General features: G+C 40.2%; 1 long non-coding RNA gene across 1 annotated transcript; it reads right to left on the bottom strand.

Moving 5' to 3' along the window:
* Positions 1-1,140: 1,140 nt before the first annotated feature.
* Positions 1,141-16,778, bottom strand: LOC105376583 (uncharacterized). Its single transcript, XR_931103.3, has 3 exons — positions 16,662-16,778; positions 2,102-4,979; positions 1,141-1,414 (listed from the first exon to the last, which is right to left on the bottom strand). It is a non-coding gene; the product is annotated as an uncharacterized LOC105376583 (long non-coding RNA).
* Positions 16,779-17,442: the final 664 nt, after the last annotated feature.

Raw genomic sequence — 17,442 nt, 5'->3', positions numbered from 1 at the left:
CCCATGACTTCTTATAATATTTCACCAAAAACACATTTTACTTTCTTTACACACCTTGCATATAAAGTTGTTTCTTTAGTAGTTTTAATCATGTTATAATATTAACTCTTAGTAACTTTTACTTTTGGTGAAAACCCTGGTTAGTAAGCAATTTTAATTGTGTACTAGGTGTGGAGTCTAGTCTAGGACACCAGGCAGAAGTGTAGATAAGAGCTGACTCTCTAGCATAGTTAGGGGTGTGGCTAACTCCACATGTCCCCAGGCCTTATCTAGAATCTAATGGCTTTAAGGGAGGTAAATTGAACAATTTTCAAAAGTCAAAGAAACAGTTTGACCTTAAAGTAGTTAGTAAATCTGATATCTGGTCTTAATTTAGACCAAATGTCTACATTTTGAAGACATTTTACTTTACCTATAATCTTTAAAATTGTCTTTATTTCCAAAAGATTACTAAAGTCACGTGAACAAAAAGGCATTAAAGTTTCTATTTTTCTGACAAAATATTTTATTTAATTGTTCATTTTTCTAAGCCAGTTAATTAGAGCTCTTTTATATATAAACATATGACACATATGACACACAGAGAGAAGATTCAGTACTTGTAAGATTTTTCATTGGTCATTTTCTTAATTGGATTACTGGCTTCAGGGTGGAGCCCTTGGAAGAACAGGGCCAGGAAAGCATCCATTTCTAGGGCCAAATAAGCAGCTGAAGGCAAAGACAGATCCCCAAAATTAAGGGTATCATTTTATACTGGTTCCTGGATCCCCAAAAGGAGGGAAATACTGTGGAAGATAGTGTAGTGCTTCTACTCTGTATTTCATTGTAAAACAACCCAAAGCTAATCAGCCCATTTGGTAATCAGCCCATCCCTCAGGGAAGCCTCATCTCCCGAGGGGGTAGGGATGTTTCCTTATCTTCCAGGTGGCCAAGAGCATGTTTCTCTGATACAAGTGTGCAAAGAGTCAAGTATCCCTCTGTAACTACTATTAACTACCTAGTTATTACACATCAAAACTCTCTCATAATGTGAAGTAATTTCTGATATCCCCAAAACTCAAAACCATCATATAACGTAATGTAAAACAGAACAGAGTCTTTGATTTTGAGAGGGATCTATCTGTTTTTAATTCTTGGGGTTTCATGAGGAAAACAGATTTTTCCCCAAAACGGGGTCTGTGGCACCTCCTCTGTTTTTCCCAAGGAGTCCCGGAAAAACAAGTTCCAAGAAGAGAAAAACATAAAGGCCTTTAAAATATATCTATAGCTTGTTTATCCACTTTTAGTTAAGTTGACTTTTAACCATAGTGCTCTTTAAAAAAGAAATCCTTTCAGATCTCTTATTACCTGACTTCAGCCATGCCAAGCAGCCAATATTTCTAGCTTCTGAACTTTACCAGAGGTAACCTGCTAGCTGCATAGAGAAAGGAAAATTTAAGATAGTCCACAGAGAAGAGAATAGACAAGGTCATGCAGATATTAAGCCAGAAATGATTTACTTCCTAGGTGAGGAATTGAACCCGGACCACCACTGTAAAAGTGTAAAACCTTAGTTACTGAGTTACAGTAGGAGGCAGTCTCCATTTTCTTTCCCAGAAGAAGTCTAGAGTAGTTAATTTTGAGGTTGTAAAGGGTTTTAACTGTTTAATATGATTTTTAGAGTTGACTATGACATGAACCCTAAAATTCCTGTTCCCTGCAAGGCGGAGACCAAGAGAAGGTACCACCACGGGGTTAAAAAGTCAAGCTCCCAAGGACATGAAACAAGGTGGAGACTTCATCCAGTTTTTTTGTTTGTTTCAGACACCTGCAGCCAAGTTTGTTTACTGACCAGCTTGTTGGGACGTCTTGAAATGTGGGGTTACAGGTATTCTAAGCCCATGTTTTATTCTACAGAAAAACGAATTCATAGCATAAAATACAACAGTTTAAGACTAGCCTTAGAATTCTTTTTCACATTAATCAAAACTTTACAGAGGAGATAAACACTGGTTTTTGTTTTGTTTTTTTTTTTCCATTCATTTAACCATTTGCACAGAGAGAGAGAGAGAGAGAGAGAGAGAGAGAGAAGCCAGAAATCTGACTGGTAAGAAATGCTTACCCTTTGGCCGGCATGCCAGGCTTCTGAATGGCCCTAGTGATCCGGTTTGTGGCATCATCGCCCTGGGGGCCAAGCCGCATATAAAAGAAAATTACTTTTTTTCATTCTGGCCAGAGTAAAATACGTGTGATAAAACATAGATGTTAGCCACTCTGCTTAGCACCCAATATCAAAGTGGCAAGACTTAAATTTGCCACCAGATGGGCCCTGTCATCTTTAATCCAACCTCTGACTTGGAGTTTCGACACGACACGTGGTCTCTGGGCAAGATGGCTGCCCTGAGTAATAGAAAAGATAAGAAAGGGAAAGGAGAGAGAGAAAAGCATTGCCTGTGGCAGTGTGGGGAAGGCGAAATGCTCAGGGGGGTGAGAAAGACCCACCCATTGCAGCAATATTGAAAAGTCCAGTCGGCTGTTTCTCGGTAGCAAAGGGATATTTTCCAGCCATCCTGTTAGCTCTCAAGTTTCCCTTTTAGGGAGGAAAAAGGTCCCTATGTCCCTGGATCCTGTACATGCCTAACCTTGTCACCCACAGCCATCAGCAAAGACTGCAAGGCAGATTAATCCAAAGAGAACAGCAGTTAACATCACATAGTGCCAAACCTGTTCTTAACTGAGAGAGACTTTACTGAGAGAGGCCTCTAACCCCCTAAATCTTAGAAGGGACTCTAACCCTCCTAAGTCGGGCCTCTAACCTAAAGTCAAGCATCCTTGCCTTTTATTAAGATGGGCCTCTAACCCATTCTGTCTTAGGAGAGACCCTAACTCCCCTAAGTTGGGCCCTTAACCCAATCCCATTCTTTACCTGGGTACCTCACCACTTACCCAAAGTTGTCCCATCAGTGCTGCAGTCTATTTCCTTTGGGTCAGGCGAGGGGGGGGGGTCTCCTTAGTATTGTCCCTTTTGTGGTTCCCTAGAAAGATGTTACCGGACCCCACCACTTACCGAAAGGTAGCCTTTGGGTCGGGGGTTTCCACAGTATAGTCGCTTCCTTGGTCGCCAGAAAGACGTTACAGGACCCCGACACTTACCCAAAGGTAGCCATTGGGTCAGGGCTACTGCACTATAGTCCCTTCATGGTCACCAGAAATATGTTACAGGACAGGGGTCCTGATCCAGACCCCAAGAGAGGGTTCTTGGATCTCGCATAAGAAAGAATTCAGGGCGAGTCTGCAGTGCAAAGTGAAAGCAAGTTTATTTAGAAAGTAAAGGAATAAAAGAATGGCTACTCCATAGACAGAGCAGCCCCGAGGGCTGCTGGTTGCCTATTTTTATGGTTATTTCTGGATGATATGTTAAACAAGGGGTGGATAATTCACACCTCCCCTTTTTAGCCCACATAGGGTAACTTCCTGATTTGCTTTGGCACTTGTAAACTGTCATGGTGCTGTTGGGAGTGTAGCAGTGAGGACAACCAGAGGTCACTCTCGTCGACATTTGGGTTTTGGTGGGTTTTAGCCGGCTCCTTTACTGCCACCTGTTTTATCAGCAAGGTCTTCATGACCTGTATTTTGTGCTGACCTCCTGTCTCATCCTGTGACTTATAATGCCTTCACCATCTGGGAATGCAGCCCAGTAGGTTTCAGCCTCATTTTACCCAGCTCCTACTTAAGATGGAGTTGCTCTGGTTCACACACCTCTGACAACTGCACGATTTTGTTTTGTTTTGTTAAGACAAATAATAACAAAGGCCAGATAGCATTTAAAACTAGTACATAGATGTGGGTCATATGTCATATATTTTTCAAATAAAAGTCACCTATAAAGACTTTAAGGTTCCTTTCTTTTTATTTGCTACTTGCTGAATAAAGGGGTAGTAGAAAATACTCCTTTAAGGAGAAGGTATAGCTCAGGGGTAGAGCATTTGACTGCAGATCAAGAAAATACTCCTTTGATCATTTTTAGGCTAGGAAATTTTAGCCAACTTCTTACGCCAAATACACACATGCACACACACACACTTACAAAATGAGAGCTAGAATAAATTAATAAGTGATGATAATGCTGATCAACTTTCCTGCATCTACATTCTAACTACAAGCTCAACATTAAAAAAACAAATCTACATACAGCTTGGTTAAAGGGTTTCTCAGTTCCCTTCCAGTTCTAATGTTCTATAAATAACATTATTTCTCAGGTTTGGGGTAGTTCAGGTGAAAGCATATCTTTCTTAAAAACCATAATTATCTGGATAATTAGACAAATGCAATAAAATTTAAGATAGTAATAAGTACTCACTTTTAATACAAAATCATATTTCGGATGCACACAGATAAAATGAACTCTGATGCAAATTATCCTGTAAGGTGAATAATTTTCTAATCAGAGTAAGCACTTCCTTATTAGTCTGTTTTATATGTCTGATTTTTCTTGAACTAGGTTCCTGTAAAACCACGCATAGCTTTTTTATACACAAAATGGCTATATTCCTAATATACTCAAATTAACAATTCTCCAAAGTCCTGTTAAATCAAGTTTAGCCTAAAGTTGCCTCTGTACGTATTTTAAGTTCGACTTAAAGGTTTTTCTGTACATTGTGAACTATAACAAGTGGAGGTGTAAACAGACCGTAGCTTACACTTGTGCCAATCATTGAGTTTTGGCCAAATGTAGCCAATTGTTTGAACATGTTGAAATAAGGCAAATGCCAACCTGTAACCAATCTAGTTGCTTCTGTGCCTCACTTTCCTTTTTCTGTCCATAAATCTTCTCCCATGTGGCTGTGCTGGAGTCTCTGAGCCTACTCTGGCTGGGAAAGCTGCTTGATTCGTGAATCGTTGGTTGTTCAGTTAAACTTCTTTAAATTTAATTCAGCTGAAGTTTTTCTTTTATCAGTCAAATAAATACAAAACTGAGGAGGTTGGGTGGCATTTCTTCTCTGTAAACAAGAAAAGGGTAGGGACAAATGTCATTTATATAAATATGTCCTAGAATTTAAAATCACCTTTTTTTTTTTTTTTTTTTTTTTGAGATGGAGTCTCACTCTGTCATCCAGGCTGGAGTGCAGTGGTACGATCTCGGCCCACTGCAACCTTCACCTCCCAGGTTCAAGCGATTCTCCTCCCTCAGCTTCCTGAGTGGCTGGGACTACAGGCACGCGCCACTAAGCCCAGCTAATTTTTGTATTTTTAGTAGAGATGGGATTTCACCATGTTGGCCAAACTGGTCTCAAACTCCTGACCTCAGGTGATCCGCCTGCCTCGGCCTCGCAAAGTGCTGGGATTACAGGCGTGAGCCACTGTGCCTGGCCTGAAAATCCTTGTTTAAATTCAGATCAAATCTTAATCTTTTTTTTTTTTTTTTTTTGGCCTTTCCTGTTTATTTGCTTCAAAGGTTTTCAGGAGCAGTGATGAGAATTATTCCACATGTGCTGGATAGATTTTAGGCTTTAAAAGAGGCAAGATGCCTCTGACTTTGTCAGCATGAAAAGACTGCCCTGAGCAGTCTTCAACATACGTTGTTAAAGACACTTGACTTTTTGTCTTGTTAGAAAAAAAAAAAAAAAAAAGAGATACAAAACGTATGGCTATCTCTTGATCAGTGGGAAAAAAAAAGTCACTTAGAAAATATAAAAGTATTTTAACCCCTCCATTAAATAAATCTGTGCCAAATTTACATCTTTGTCAAGAGAAAAGATATCAAATTTAAATATTTTATATTTTAACTGAATTATGAGTAATGTATTCTTTACATAAGTCAAATTAATGTGGCTGTTTGTGGAAATGTTTTCATTTGATGTTGACGCTCTTTCCAGAAGTTTTAGAGAAGGGAAAATTGTGGGGGGAGAAAAAAAGATTAATATAATGTCTTACAGATTTCAGTTAAGCCAAGATAGGAAAGGAAACAAAGTTGTAGGTTATGGTGATAACTTGAACTTTAACTTCTAACACTGAAAATACTAACACTCCTTCAAAACTCAGCAATTTGAAAATTAATTTGTGAACTTTGCTGGAGTGAGATTTCTCACCTGAGCATTTACTCTGCTTTTTGTAAAGCAAAGAGAAGACTTGATACAAACCACCTGTTGTGCTACCCACCTTATCCAATTAGACACGTCTTTGATCTTTGTGGAAATAATAACCCATATGAGTCACTACTTTCAGACTAACCAAATCTGAAAACCCTGCTCAGGGTAGTCTTTTCGTGCTCACAAAGTCAGAGGCATCTTGCCTCTTTTAAAGCCTAAAATCTATCCAGCACATGCAGAATAATTCACATCACTGCTCCTGAAAACCTTTGAAGCAAATTAAACAGAAAAGGCCAGAACAACAACAACAACAAAGACTAAGATTTGATCTGAATTTAAACAAGTTAACAGTAACCCTATATTATTCCATATTTTACCCAGCTGTTTTGGGTATTTAATGAATTTGAACAAGGGAGCAGACCTGTGTTAAGGATTAGAGGCTATAAAGGTTCAAGAGGATTCGAAACCTTTGCTGAACTACGTATCTCTTACCCTGGCTTCTTGCTTGGAAGACTTTTAGGATTCAATGCCATTGACTTCTTTCTTATTTTATTTTACTGCAAAAATCTGGTTTTCTTGTCATTGCTTCCCAAACCAGATCCCTCAAATATTCAAAAACTATAAACAGTATATGTCATGCAGAGTGGGCTCTAAGTCATTTAGCCTCGTAGGACACTGGGGTTTATTTCTGAAGTCTTTCATAATCACCTGTGTCGACTGCAATGAAAGAGGCTTTATTTCAGTTTTACTCTTTTTCTAGGAAGGCATGAGAAAGAAAAAGACCAAATATTACCACATTTAGAGTAAAGTTGCAACCACTTCTCAAATTATCACTTCTCCAAAAAGAGTGAATCTCCTTAGTTTTCCCAGAATTGTAGAAAGATGAACATTTTCACAGATTAAAAAATTTGATGTTTAATAGAAGCTGATTCTGTGGATTAAGATCAAATGGAGAGCAAGAGGGACATACAGTCACTCCTCAGGGTAGTTGGGGGATTTGTTCCAGGACCCACCCCAAGGTTTTACAGAACATGGACAATGAGACTCGAGTTCATGCTCTTAATTAAGTGCCATTTTTGACTGCCTCTGTAGTCATCAGAAAGATTAGAGCGATGCTGGAATTGTGCAATGGCTTGCAAAATAGGTAATACAGATGAAAGGAGAAGAAAACATTGCATAAAATTGATCCGAAAACACAGCAAGACCCTGACTCTACAAAAATAAAAATAAAAAATTAGCTGGGCGTGGTGGTGTGGGCCTGTATTCTCAGCTGCTCAGGAGACTGAGGCAGGAGAATCGTTCAAGCCCAGGAGTTGCAGGTTACAATAAGCTATGATGGCACTACTGCGCCCCAGCCTGGGCAACATAGTGAGACCCTGTCTCAAAAAAAAAAAAAATCCAACAAGAGGATGTATGCTTCCTAACTCAATTTGGCATTTGGGAAAGATTTCTAGAGTACCAAGAATAAATCATTGATCAAATGGGATGATAGCAACAAAGGTGAAGATATCCTAGAAGATGGGATTGATTTTCTACAAAGGAAAGCAATAGCATCACTACTTCTCTGTCAGTAAGAGTAAGTAGACAACTATAATATGTACAAAGTAACAAATAATATTTTTTGTTCATATAGAAAATTTAGGAAATGTACAAAAATTAGAAAATAAAAAAAAATCCATAGTCTCACCACTCAGAGATAGTTGCTATTTTTTTTTTTTTTGGTAATGCATATGTAAATACATATATAATACACATGCAGAGGTACATTTTAAGTAGAATTAAATCTTATATATAATGTGTTATCTGCCTTTTTAGTCACTTACTATATTAGATAAATTTTCCTATTCCATTAAAAAGTCTTTGAAAATATTCTTCCTAATGTTACACGTATATATCATAATTAAACCAATTCCCTAGAATTGGGCATCTAGTAATTCTGTTTTTTGCTATTATAAGTAGCTCCATATTATACAAGTATATTTTTATGGAAATCTCTGATTATTTAATCAATATTAAATAACATTTTTTAAGTTCTTTATACATACTGCCATATTGTCTTCCAAAATGGTTGTATTCATTTACTTTCCCATGAACAAGATACAAAATGATCTTTTCACTGCTGGGTGATGATATATAAAAAAAATTTTTCTACCAACTGAATGGGGTTGGGGGAGAGAAGCATATTATTATTTGAAGTTGTTTCATTATTAGGTTGAATATTTTAATATGTTTCTTTACATTTTTGCCTTTAATAAATTATCTTTGATGTCCTTTGGCTTTTTTTTTATTTTTTTTTTTGCTATTGGCATGCTTGTCTTGTTTATTTTTAAGAGCTCTTTATATATTGAAAATATTAAATAATTTCATGAAATTACATTTGGACCTATTTTTCAAGGCCCAGACTAAATTATGCATCATTCATTATATTTTTCCTGACTTAATCTGCCTAAGTCAAATCTCCTGCTTCTAAGTCCTAATACAATATTCAATACTGAATTATACACTGTTTGCAATTCTTTAGAGTTTTTTCTTTTATCCTCCATAATAACTTTTCAAAGGAGAGTTCATGGATTTTAACAACTACAAAGATGATCAACTTGACATCTCTGAATTCTCAGTGTCATTTGCTGTGACAGAGTTACTGGAATTGGGTGAGGTTCAGCCCAGTTTCTTTAGCTACTATGTGGTTATTCTTGGGAGATGACCAGGGTTTTTTTTTTTTTTTTTTTTTTTTGAGACAGGGTCTTGCTCTGTCGCATGGGCTGGAGTGCAGCAGTGCGATCTCAGCTCACCATAGCCTCCGCCTCCCAGGTTCAAGTGATTCTCCTGCCTCAGCCTCCCAAAGTAGCTGGGACTACAGGCATGTGCCACCATGCCTGGCTAATTTTTATATTTTTAGTAGAGATGGGGTTTCACCATGTTGGCAGGCTGGTCTCAAACTCCTGACCTCAAGTGATCCTCCCAGCTCAGCCTCCCAAAGTGCAGGGATTACAGGCATGAGCCACAGCGCCTGGCCTCATAGTTTATTTTAAATATATCAGACATAATTCAAAGAGAGCTTATAGTAAGAAATAGAACCAAAAAAAGAAATTTTGGATTTTTTGTAAAGAGAGTTGAAATATTTTTTCTCATAATAATTTCTTTAATGATTCTTTATAAAGAATATTAAATTTTTCCAAACTTAATTTTATGGTTTGCTTACATAATAAACCAGGGGTGTCCAATCTTTTGGATCCCCTAGGCCACGTTGGAAGAAAAATTGTCTTGGCCACACATAAAATACACTAACACTAATGATAGCTGATGAGCTAAAAAAAAAAAATTGCCAAAAAAATCTCATAATGCTTTATGAAAGTTTATGAATTTGTGTTGGGCCACATTCAAAGCAGTCCTAGGCCGCAGGCAGCCTGTGTGCCTCAGGTTGGACAAGCTTGATGTAAAGCATTTACATGAGTCACCTTAAAATTACAGCACAGATAAGCAATGATAATCGAAATAAAATTAAGCATCTTAGGGCTTTCAACATTTGTTTCCTCTTAGATGACTTGCTCCAGAATCCAAGTCTTTATGAGTTATTTGGATGTCCTGAATGAATGTCTTTATCTTTCTTTTTATTACTAATAGGAACTTATTTTGAACCAGTGTTCACCCACAAAAACCTTTTATTTAAAAATCACTCTGAAATGGAGTGGCTCCAGGGAAGGTCTAGAACCCAATGGAGAGGAATCTGAAATCACTTCCTCTAAGGAGGGAATCTATCTATCTATCTATCTATCTATATCTATCTAACTAGAAAGATAGAGTGGGGTGCATACTTGATTTGTCTACTTGTATTATTTTTTGTGCAATCTAATATAATTTATCTGGGGAGAGAACTAATGAGGAGGAGGAAATGTTGTATGAAAAGGTGAAATTCATGCAACCTCTCTGGAACAGAGGCCTGATTTGAATGTTATTAACATAGCTGGACTTCCAGGCCTTCTGAAATGGTCTTTCATTTCCATATGAATATCGGAAAACGCTCCACTTAGGGACGGGGAGATGTTGGGGAACAGACCTCTTTGCCTACATCTCAGCTAATTTATATGCTCTCCAATGGAGGTCATATCGATATGAGGCCCAACCCCTGTCAGCTTTGTGGGTCCCTTAACCTGAGAACCTTGAAGCCCATTGAGAGCTATTCATACTTGGCAGATTGATTTCGTCCGTCATTTTGTCATAGTAACTGACAATTCACTGCCATCCAAGTGTATCTGGGAGCACAATGCCCACATAAATATTGTTGGCAATTCTGAGCATATCCCTTTGTGGAAATAGTAGGTTAATTTCCTTCTGCCGCTCGACTTTCTATAGCTATGTGGCAGAAGATCATTACCACTGGAGCCATATAGCCGACAGGCCCAGCAGGGCTTGTTTTGAAGAAGCACAGAGTTTAGAATCCCCCATCAGTGCAGAATAAAATTAATCAAAGCTTCAAACACAGGCTAATCTGAAAAGGGAGATGGGGTTAATAGGGACATTAAAACTTTGATGAGAAACAGGTGCAGCCCAAGTCCTAAAACTAGTCTAGAGAGTTTCAGGCATGAAATTAACAGACGCAGGAAACTGTCTTTACTTTCAAACAACAATAATCACACAAGGGACAAAAGTCATTGAACCTCCTTAATCACACCAGCCTATTTGAAAGGTGCACTCTGAGCTGTGCTGACTCACAGAGCAGGTGGGGGACTTCTTCAAAGCAGTGCACAGAGTTCTGGGGTGGCCTTGGTCTACGGAGGACTTTCTTGTTGCATCCCCCGATGTTAATCCAATCATCACTGAATGGAGAGGCAGTCACAGTATGGCATGGCAGAAAGAGCAAGAGCTTTGGTAGTAAACATTCCTGGATTTGATATCAGGCTCCCCCACTTAGCCGTGGTAGTCTAAGTCCCTTAACTTTTCTGAGCTCAGTTTCACTACCTGTAAAACGGGATTATAAAAGTACCCACTTTATGGGGCAGCCATAAGGATTAAATGAGAGAATTTATTCATTCAGTAAATCTTTTAAGTGTCTTCTTTGAATTAGGCACAGCACTTAGGACTGGTGAGTGAAACTGTTGGGGTCGGGGGAGGTCTCTGTCTTTGATTTTAGTGCATCCAGTTAGAATAGAAAATAAAATTCCTTCAGTGCAGGACTTGACTCTCTGAGTTAGCTTGGGAGAGTCAAGGAAGGCTTCTCAGAAAAGATAGCTCTTGAGATTTGAAAGAAAAGATGTTTGTCAAGCAGACCAGCAGAATACAGGCATCCCAGGATTGTGTGAAGGCCATGAGCAGACTAGAGGGGTGGATGAGGGCACATTCATTGTTGCTAGAGTTTAATGTGCAAGGAGCATGTGGTAGAAGACACTGCTGAGCAGAAAGAAGGGGACCTAATCACACTGAGCTTTGTGTATGCCCATTGCTGAGGAGTTTGGATTTTACATTGTAATCACAAGGAGCCTGTGAGATATGCCTGCCCTGCTGAGGGTTTACTATGGAGCATGTGCTGTGCTCAATTTCTGTACTATCTCAACAACTCATAAAGTGTCAGGCCTATAAAATGGCAATACGATTTCTCTAGTCAGGGGTAATCAGAGCTGTTGTCCCATGGGAGTTGATTTTCTAATTAGTTCCTTGTGATGGAAAATGGTGAAACAAGTTTGAGAGTGGGTGTGCAGGGAGAGGGATGAGAAACCTTTTGAAAAATTCTACGCATGTCTGGGGTTAAGAGGCATGCAACCACCTCTAATTGATTTCTTTATCTCTCTGAACCTCTCTTGGCCTCTCTGGTATGTGTGTAAATGACATCTGCCAAGCCTTAATGTAGCGCTTTCATGGCATGAGGGATGGCTAGCATCTTAAAAAATTCAAGTGCTATCTAAGGCTATAATCTGCTGCAATTTTCTTCTTCCTGTTTCTGAAGTGTGAGGCCAGGATGCTGGAACATCTGAAAGAGCCCAAGCTTGAAGAGAGGGGAGCTCCAAGCTTCCCAAGTCCAATTAAACAGGAGACAGGATTCTCTCGGAGGTTAGTAACATCCTTTGCTGCTGAGGCTCATGTATGAGATTCAGGACTTTGTGGGGGATATAGGGAAGACAAATCCTAGAAATCCAGATGCTTGGACTTTACCACCCACCGGCTATGTGACCTTGAGGAGGTCACTTAACTCCTGTGAGTTTCAGCTCCCTCATCTGAAAAATGAGAATAAATGGTAATGCCCACCTTGATTACTGCATGGGCCAGCAGGGGCTGGGATTACCCTGTGTTCTGGTTATCCATTGCAGCATAACAATGACTACAAAACACAGTGGCTTAAAACTACAACAGCATCTATTTTGTTTACAAACCTACAATCTGAACAGGGATCAGTGGGGACAACTTGTTTCCGCTCCACCTGATACCAGCTGGGGCTACTCAAATGCTAGGCCTGGGCAGGGCACAGTGCCTCACCCCTGTAATCCCAGCACTTTAGGAGGCTGAGACGGGCAGATCACCTGTGGTCAGGAATTCAAGACAAGCCAGGCCAACATGGTGAAACCCCGTCTCTACTAAAAATATAAAACTTAGCTAGGCATGGTGGCACATGCCTGTAGTCACAGCTACTTGGGAGGCTGAGGTGGGAGAATTGCTTGAACCTGGGAGGCGGAGGTTGCAGTGAGCCAAGATCGTGCCACTGCACTCCAGTCAGGGTGATACAGCAAGACTCCGTCTCAAAAAAAAAAAAAGGCTCGCTCCTTCCCATGTCTGGGAGTTGATGGTAAGTCTGTCAGCGCCTCCTCATGACACGGTGGCATGGTGGTGGCAGATTAAAGGGCGAGCACCTGAGATAAGCAGAGTGCCAAGTCAAAGCTATACCATTCTTATGACCTAGCCTCAGAAGTCAGGTAGCATCACTTCTGCCATTTCCCTTGGTTAGAGCAGTCACAAGCCCCCACAGGATTCAACGGGAGGAAACACAGACCCTCCCCCGCCACCCCTCTGCAGAAGGAACAGCAGTGATGTTATAAGAGGGTGTGGGATGGGATGTATGTATTGATGGAGCTATCTTTGGAAAACACAATCTTCTACTCCACGTGTAGCGAACAGCTTTATTAAGTTTAAAGCATCATACAAATGATGCTGCTAACACTTGGGCCTTTCACTTAAGTGCTGGCTCACAGATTTAAAGAGTACTATTAAGCTCTGTATTTATTCAGATAAGCAATATTTATACCTATTAAATGCAGTTACTGTCCAAGACATGTTTTTTTGTTGCTGTTGTTTTGAGACAGTCTTGCTCTGTCGCCCAGGCTGGAGTGCAGTGGTGCAATCTCGGCTCACTGCAACCTGTGCCTCCAGGGTTCAAGCTATTCTCCTGCCTCAGCCTCCTGAGAAGCTGGGACTACAGGTGCCTGCCACCACGCCCGGCTAATTTGTGTGTGTGTGTGTGTTTGTAGAGACAGGGTTTCACCATGTTAGCCAGGATCGTCTTGATCTCCTGACCTCGTGATCTGCCCGCCTCGGCCTCCCAAAATGCTGGGAATACAGGCGTGAGCCACCACACCCAGCCGTCCAAGACACTTTTAAGCACAGGAACTCATTTCTCCCATAAAACAACCATAAGAGGTAGGCTTTATGATCCCTGTTTTATAGGAAACTGAAGCTCAGGGCATGTATGTGATAGCTTTATTCATTCACTCAATAAATATGTATTGAACCTCTACTTTCTGCCAGGCAATATGTTCCAAGGGGAACAATAATAAGCAAAACAGACATAATCTCTACTTGATCTAGTGAGAGAAAAATAAAAAACAAATACTTTAATCATAAAATACATTGATGACCTTTGTGATCAACATCATGATGGGAAGACCCCCATATAGATGGAGTCAGGGAAGGATTCTCTATGGAAATGATACCTTAAATGACGCCTGAAGAAAGAGTAGGAGTGAGGACAGGCAGGAGAGCATGCCAGGCAAAGGGACCAGTCCATGCAAAGGTCCTGTGGTGGAGGGAGAAGGGTATAGCTGGAGTATAGAGAGTGAGGAGGGGCTTGCTTTGAGAGCAGCCAGAGGGGTAGACAGGCACAAAAGCAGATCTTTGCCCAGTCATAAGACAGAAGCTGCAGACTCAGGGCTTGAACGTAGGTCTTCTGCACACCCATCGAGGGCCTTCAACCCAAGACAATTGCCTGGATTGTGTTAGGCAGAGAGCTACCTTCCTGTCATCTCCAAAAGACCATTATACAGGTTTGGTTGAACCATGTGTTTCTCCACTCAAGTAACAGGCTCTTGAAGGGCTGCATGTTCTCCCTCTTTGATTAATCTCTGTGTAATATTAAGTGTAGAGCCTCAGCTAATTACTCCCAGACTGACAGTGAATAATGCAAACTCCTCTGTTAATTACTTTTTTTGAGATAGAGTCTTGCTCTGTTGCCCAGGCTGGAGTGCAGTGGCATGATCTCGGCTCACTGCAACCACCACCTCCCGGGTTCAAGTAATTCTCATGCCTCAGCCTCCTCAGTAGCTAGGATTACAGGTGCATGCCACCACACCCAGCTAATTTTTATATTTTTAGTAAAGACAGGGTTTCACCAATTTGGCCAGGCTGGTCTTGAACTCCTGACCTCAAAGTGATCTGCCCACCTCGGCCTCCCAAAGTGTTGGGATGACAGGCATGAGCCACAGCGCCTGGCCAATTCCCTCTTAGCCCCCAAAAGGCAAATGCCCAAGCACAGCCCTAAGACCAAAGGGCCTCCCTTGGAATCAGGATGGCACATTAGTGAAAGAAATAAGAAAGCAGGACCTTTTTCAAAGCCTCAAACTGCCCTTCTGTTAAATAGGAGAAATTCTGCCCAATTACTTCTTGCTGAAGTTATTAAAAATTAATAGCACCAAATCTAATATAATCAGTTCAGTTACATACCCAGTGCAGGGATGGCATCCTTTGCTGTTTTTGCAGGGGAACCAGTAAGCTGGAGCAGATGGAACAGGAAGGCCCCAGGGAGAGAGAATCTCAGCACTCAGATGCACCATCAGAAAAGAATGTTTGCAGACAGTGAAATGTGTGCTACAGCACACACTTCCTAGCAGCCCTTTGACTCGCTTACCCAGTGGCTGAACTGTTTCCAAAATAGTTCTGTATAGGCTTTTGAAAGAAAACAGCCTTGGTTTCTCTGCTGGCAATTGTTTAGGCTACTGGAAGCTTGGACATTAAAAAAAAAAAAAAAATTCTCTCTCTTTAGCCAAAGACAGATTACTGGATCCTCTGACATGAGGGAAAAATGATTCCTTGGAGACAGGCACTATGTAAAAGGTATTCCGATTGTCACTGTCATTCACAGTTTTCAGATCTGTTTTATTATGGTGTCCAGTAATAGAATAGTTAAACCATGATCCTCTACATAAATCTTTTTCTCATGTGTTTATTCATAACAACAACAACCACAACAACAAAATGCCAACTTAAATGACAGGAATTAGAATTGCTCACCAAAGCCAGGTAAAACATTTCAAAGTTAAAAAGAAAGGACACCCACTTTTCCAATTCATCTCAGCAAACTGCTCTGAGTTTCTTTCATAGTAGCTCAGTCATTATTCTGGCAACAAGACCATGACAGTTTTCATCTTAAACAGCTATTACTGATGAGCTACACTTGAAATTTCCATTCACTTAGAAGGATTACAATCTCAGTTATAGACTTCTCATCTGGGATAAAACTCAGTAAAATGATTCTTACATGAGAAACCCTCAGAATAGCCACTGAGATGAGACTAGGTTGGAAATAAAAAGGCAGTTAGGAAAAGAGTTAATCTTTGGGGGAAAATATCCTCCCTGTAGTTTTCATTTCAGTAACTCTTTCATTGTGAAAAGAATCACTTTAAGATCACACATTGATGTGCTTCTGTCTAGGAATTAATACATTCCATGTGGTCATCTACCCTTTCTGGGCAGAAGTCTTTATTTCTAACCATGTTTAGGTGCCAAAGTAGGTTACACTTGGTTGCCATAGGGTGCCAGTAAACTATTGTGAAAAGTTGTCTTTTTTTTTTAAAGTAAGCTCATAGGCAGATCTGAGGCAATGATTAAATTGTTGCTTATAATTAAAAATACCCTGAGAACATAATAATTATGCTCCCTTTGTCACCGGCATAAAAAATTTCCTGATGTTTTCAGACTAAGCTGGTAGCAGCTGTCTAGCAATCAATCAACACATCATTGACCAGATCTTCTAACTGTGAACTATAAATCCCATCTGCAGCATCCCAGGCTGAGGTTAAGAGCATTGTGGAAAATGGGGGACAGCCCAGGATAGCAAGACCTTAGAAAGCAAGGGCAAATATGAGGGAAGGTGACACTGGAGAGCTCTGTGGTGCCTGGTCTTATACACAAGATCTAAAACTCTGTACTCTGTGGCCCTTGCTGTCTTGGAGACCCAACCTGTGACTATGAGCCATTCTTGTGATTGCATTCAAACAAACCTCCACTCAGTTACAAATGAATGAGTAAATACTTGCAATGGAAAAAAATTTAGACATCATAAAAAATAATTATTTTCTATGAGGATGGAAATGAGAACTTAGGTACTGTACTCACAGGTCTAATATCCATAGATGTGATGAAAACATCCATCCATCTTGTTCTATGGTGATGTTTCAGACATAGTGTTGGACTCCTGAAATAAAGTGATTATCAATTTAGACCTTCAACTTGTTCCCTGCCATCGCGGAGCTACAACCCGGGAGGAATGCACTCAATGAACTTGTGAGTCTGAATGTGGTGGGTGTTAGAAAGGAGAAATGTCAAGTGCCATAGGACCCGAGTTTTCTGTTGGTTGTGGTTAGGGAAGGTTTCCTAGAGGAAATGGCACTGAAGCATCTAATGCTACGATCTTAAGTTGTAGGGAGAGGGAGAGGCGGTAGAGCATCCCAGGCAGAGAGAATAACGTATATAACAGCCCCATGGTGGAGAGACAATGCCTGACAAATATGCTGAGAGGAATTAAAGGTTTTAAATTATAGCCCGTGCAGCAAGGATGTGGGGAAAAGAGATGAAAAGCGGGGTCTGTAGAGATTGCCAGGGGCCACAGCGTGAACATTTGCCAGCCAAGTTAAGGCATTTGGATTTTATCCAAATTCAACGAGCCATTCAGGGTTTTTAAACAGAAGAGTGACAAGAGAGCTTTATTTCTTAAAGACCCCTCTGTCAATCGAAGAATAAACAATGGCTTTATCTGGGTCAGAGAGGTTGGGGAGAAACCAGGTAAAGGCTGTTGCAGTCGCACAGGTTAAGAGATAGTGCTGGCCTAGAGGTAGATGGTTGTATTTGTTCTATTTACTTACCCAGATTAATAGAAATCACATTTTTGCATTTTTAT

Source organism: Homo sapiens, chromosome 11, assembly GCF_000001405.40.
Source record: "Homo sapiens chromosome 11, GRCh38.p14 Primary Assembly".
Classification (NCBI taxonomy): domain Eukaryota; kingdom Metazoa; phylum Chordata; class Mammalia; order Primates; family Hominidae; genus Homo; species Homo sapiens.
Note: the sequence above shows the minus strand (reverse complement) of the source record. Positions and strands in the feature narration are given on the sequence as shown.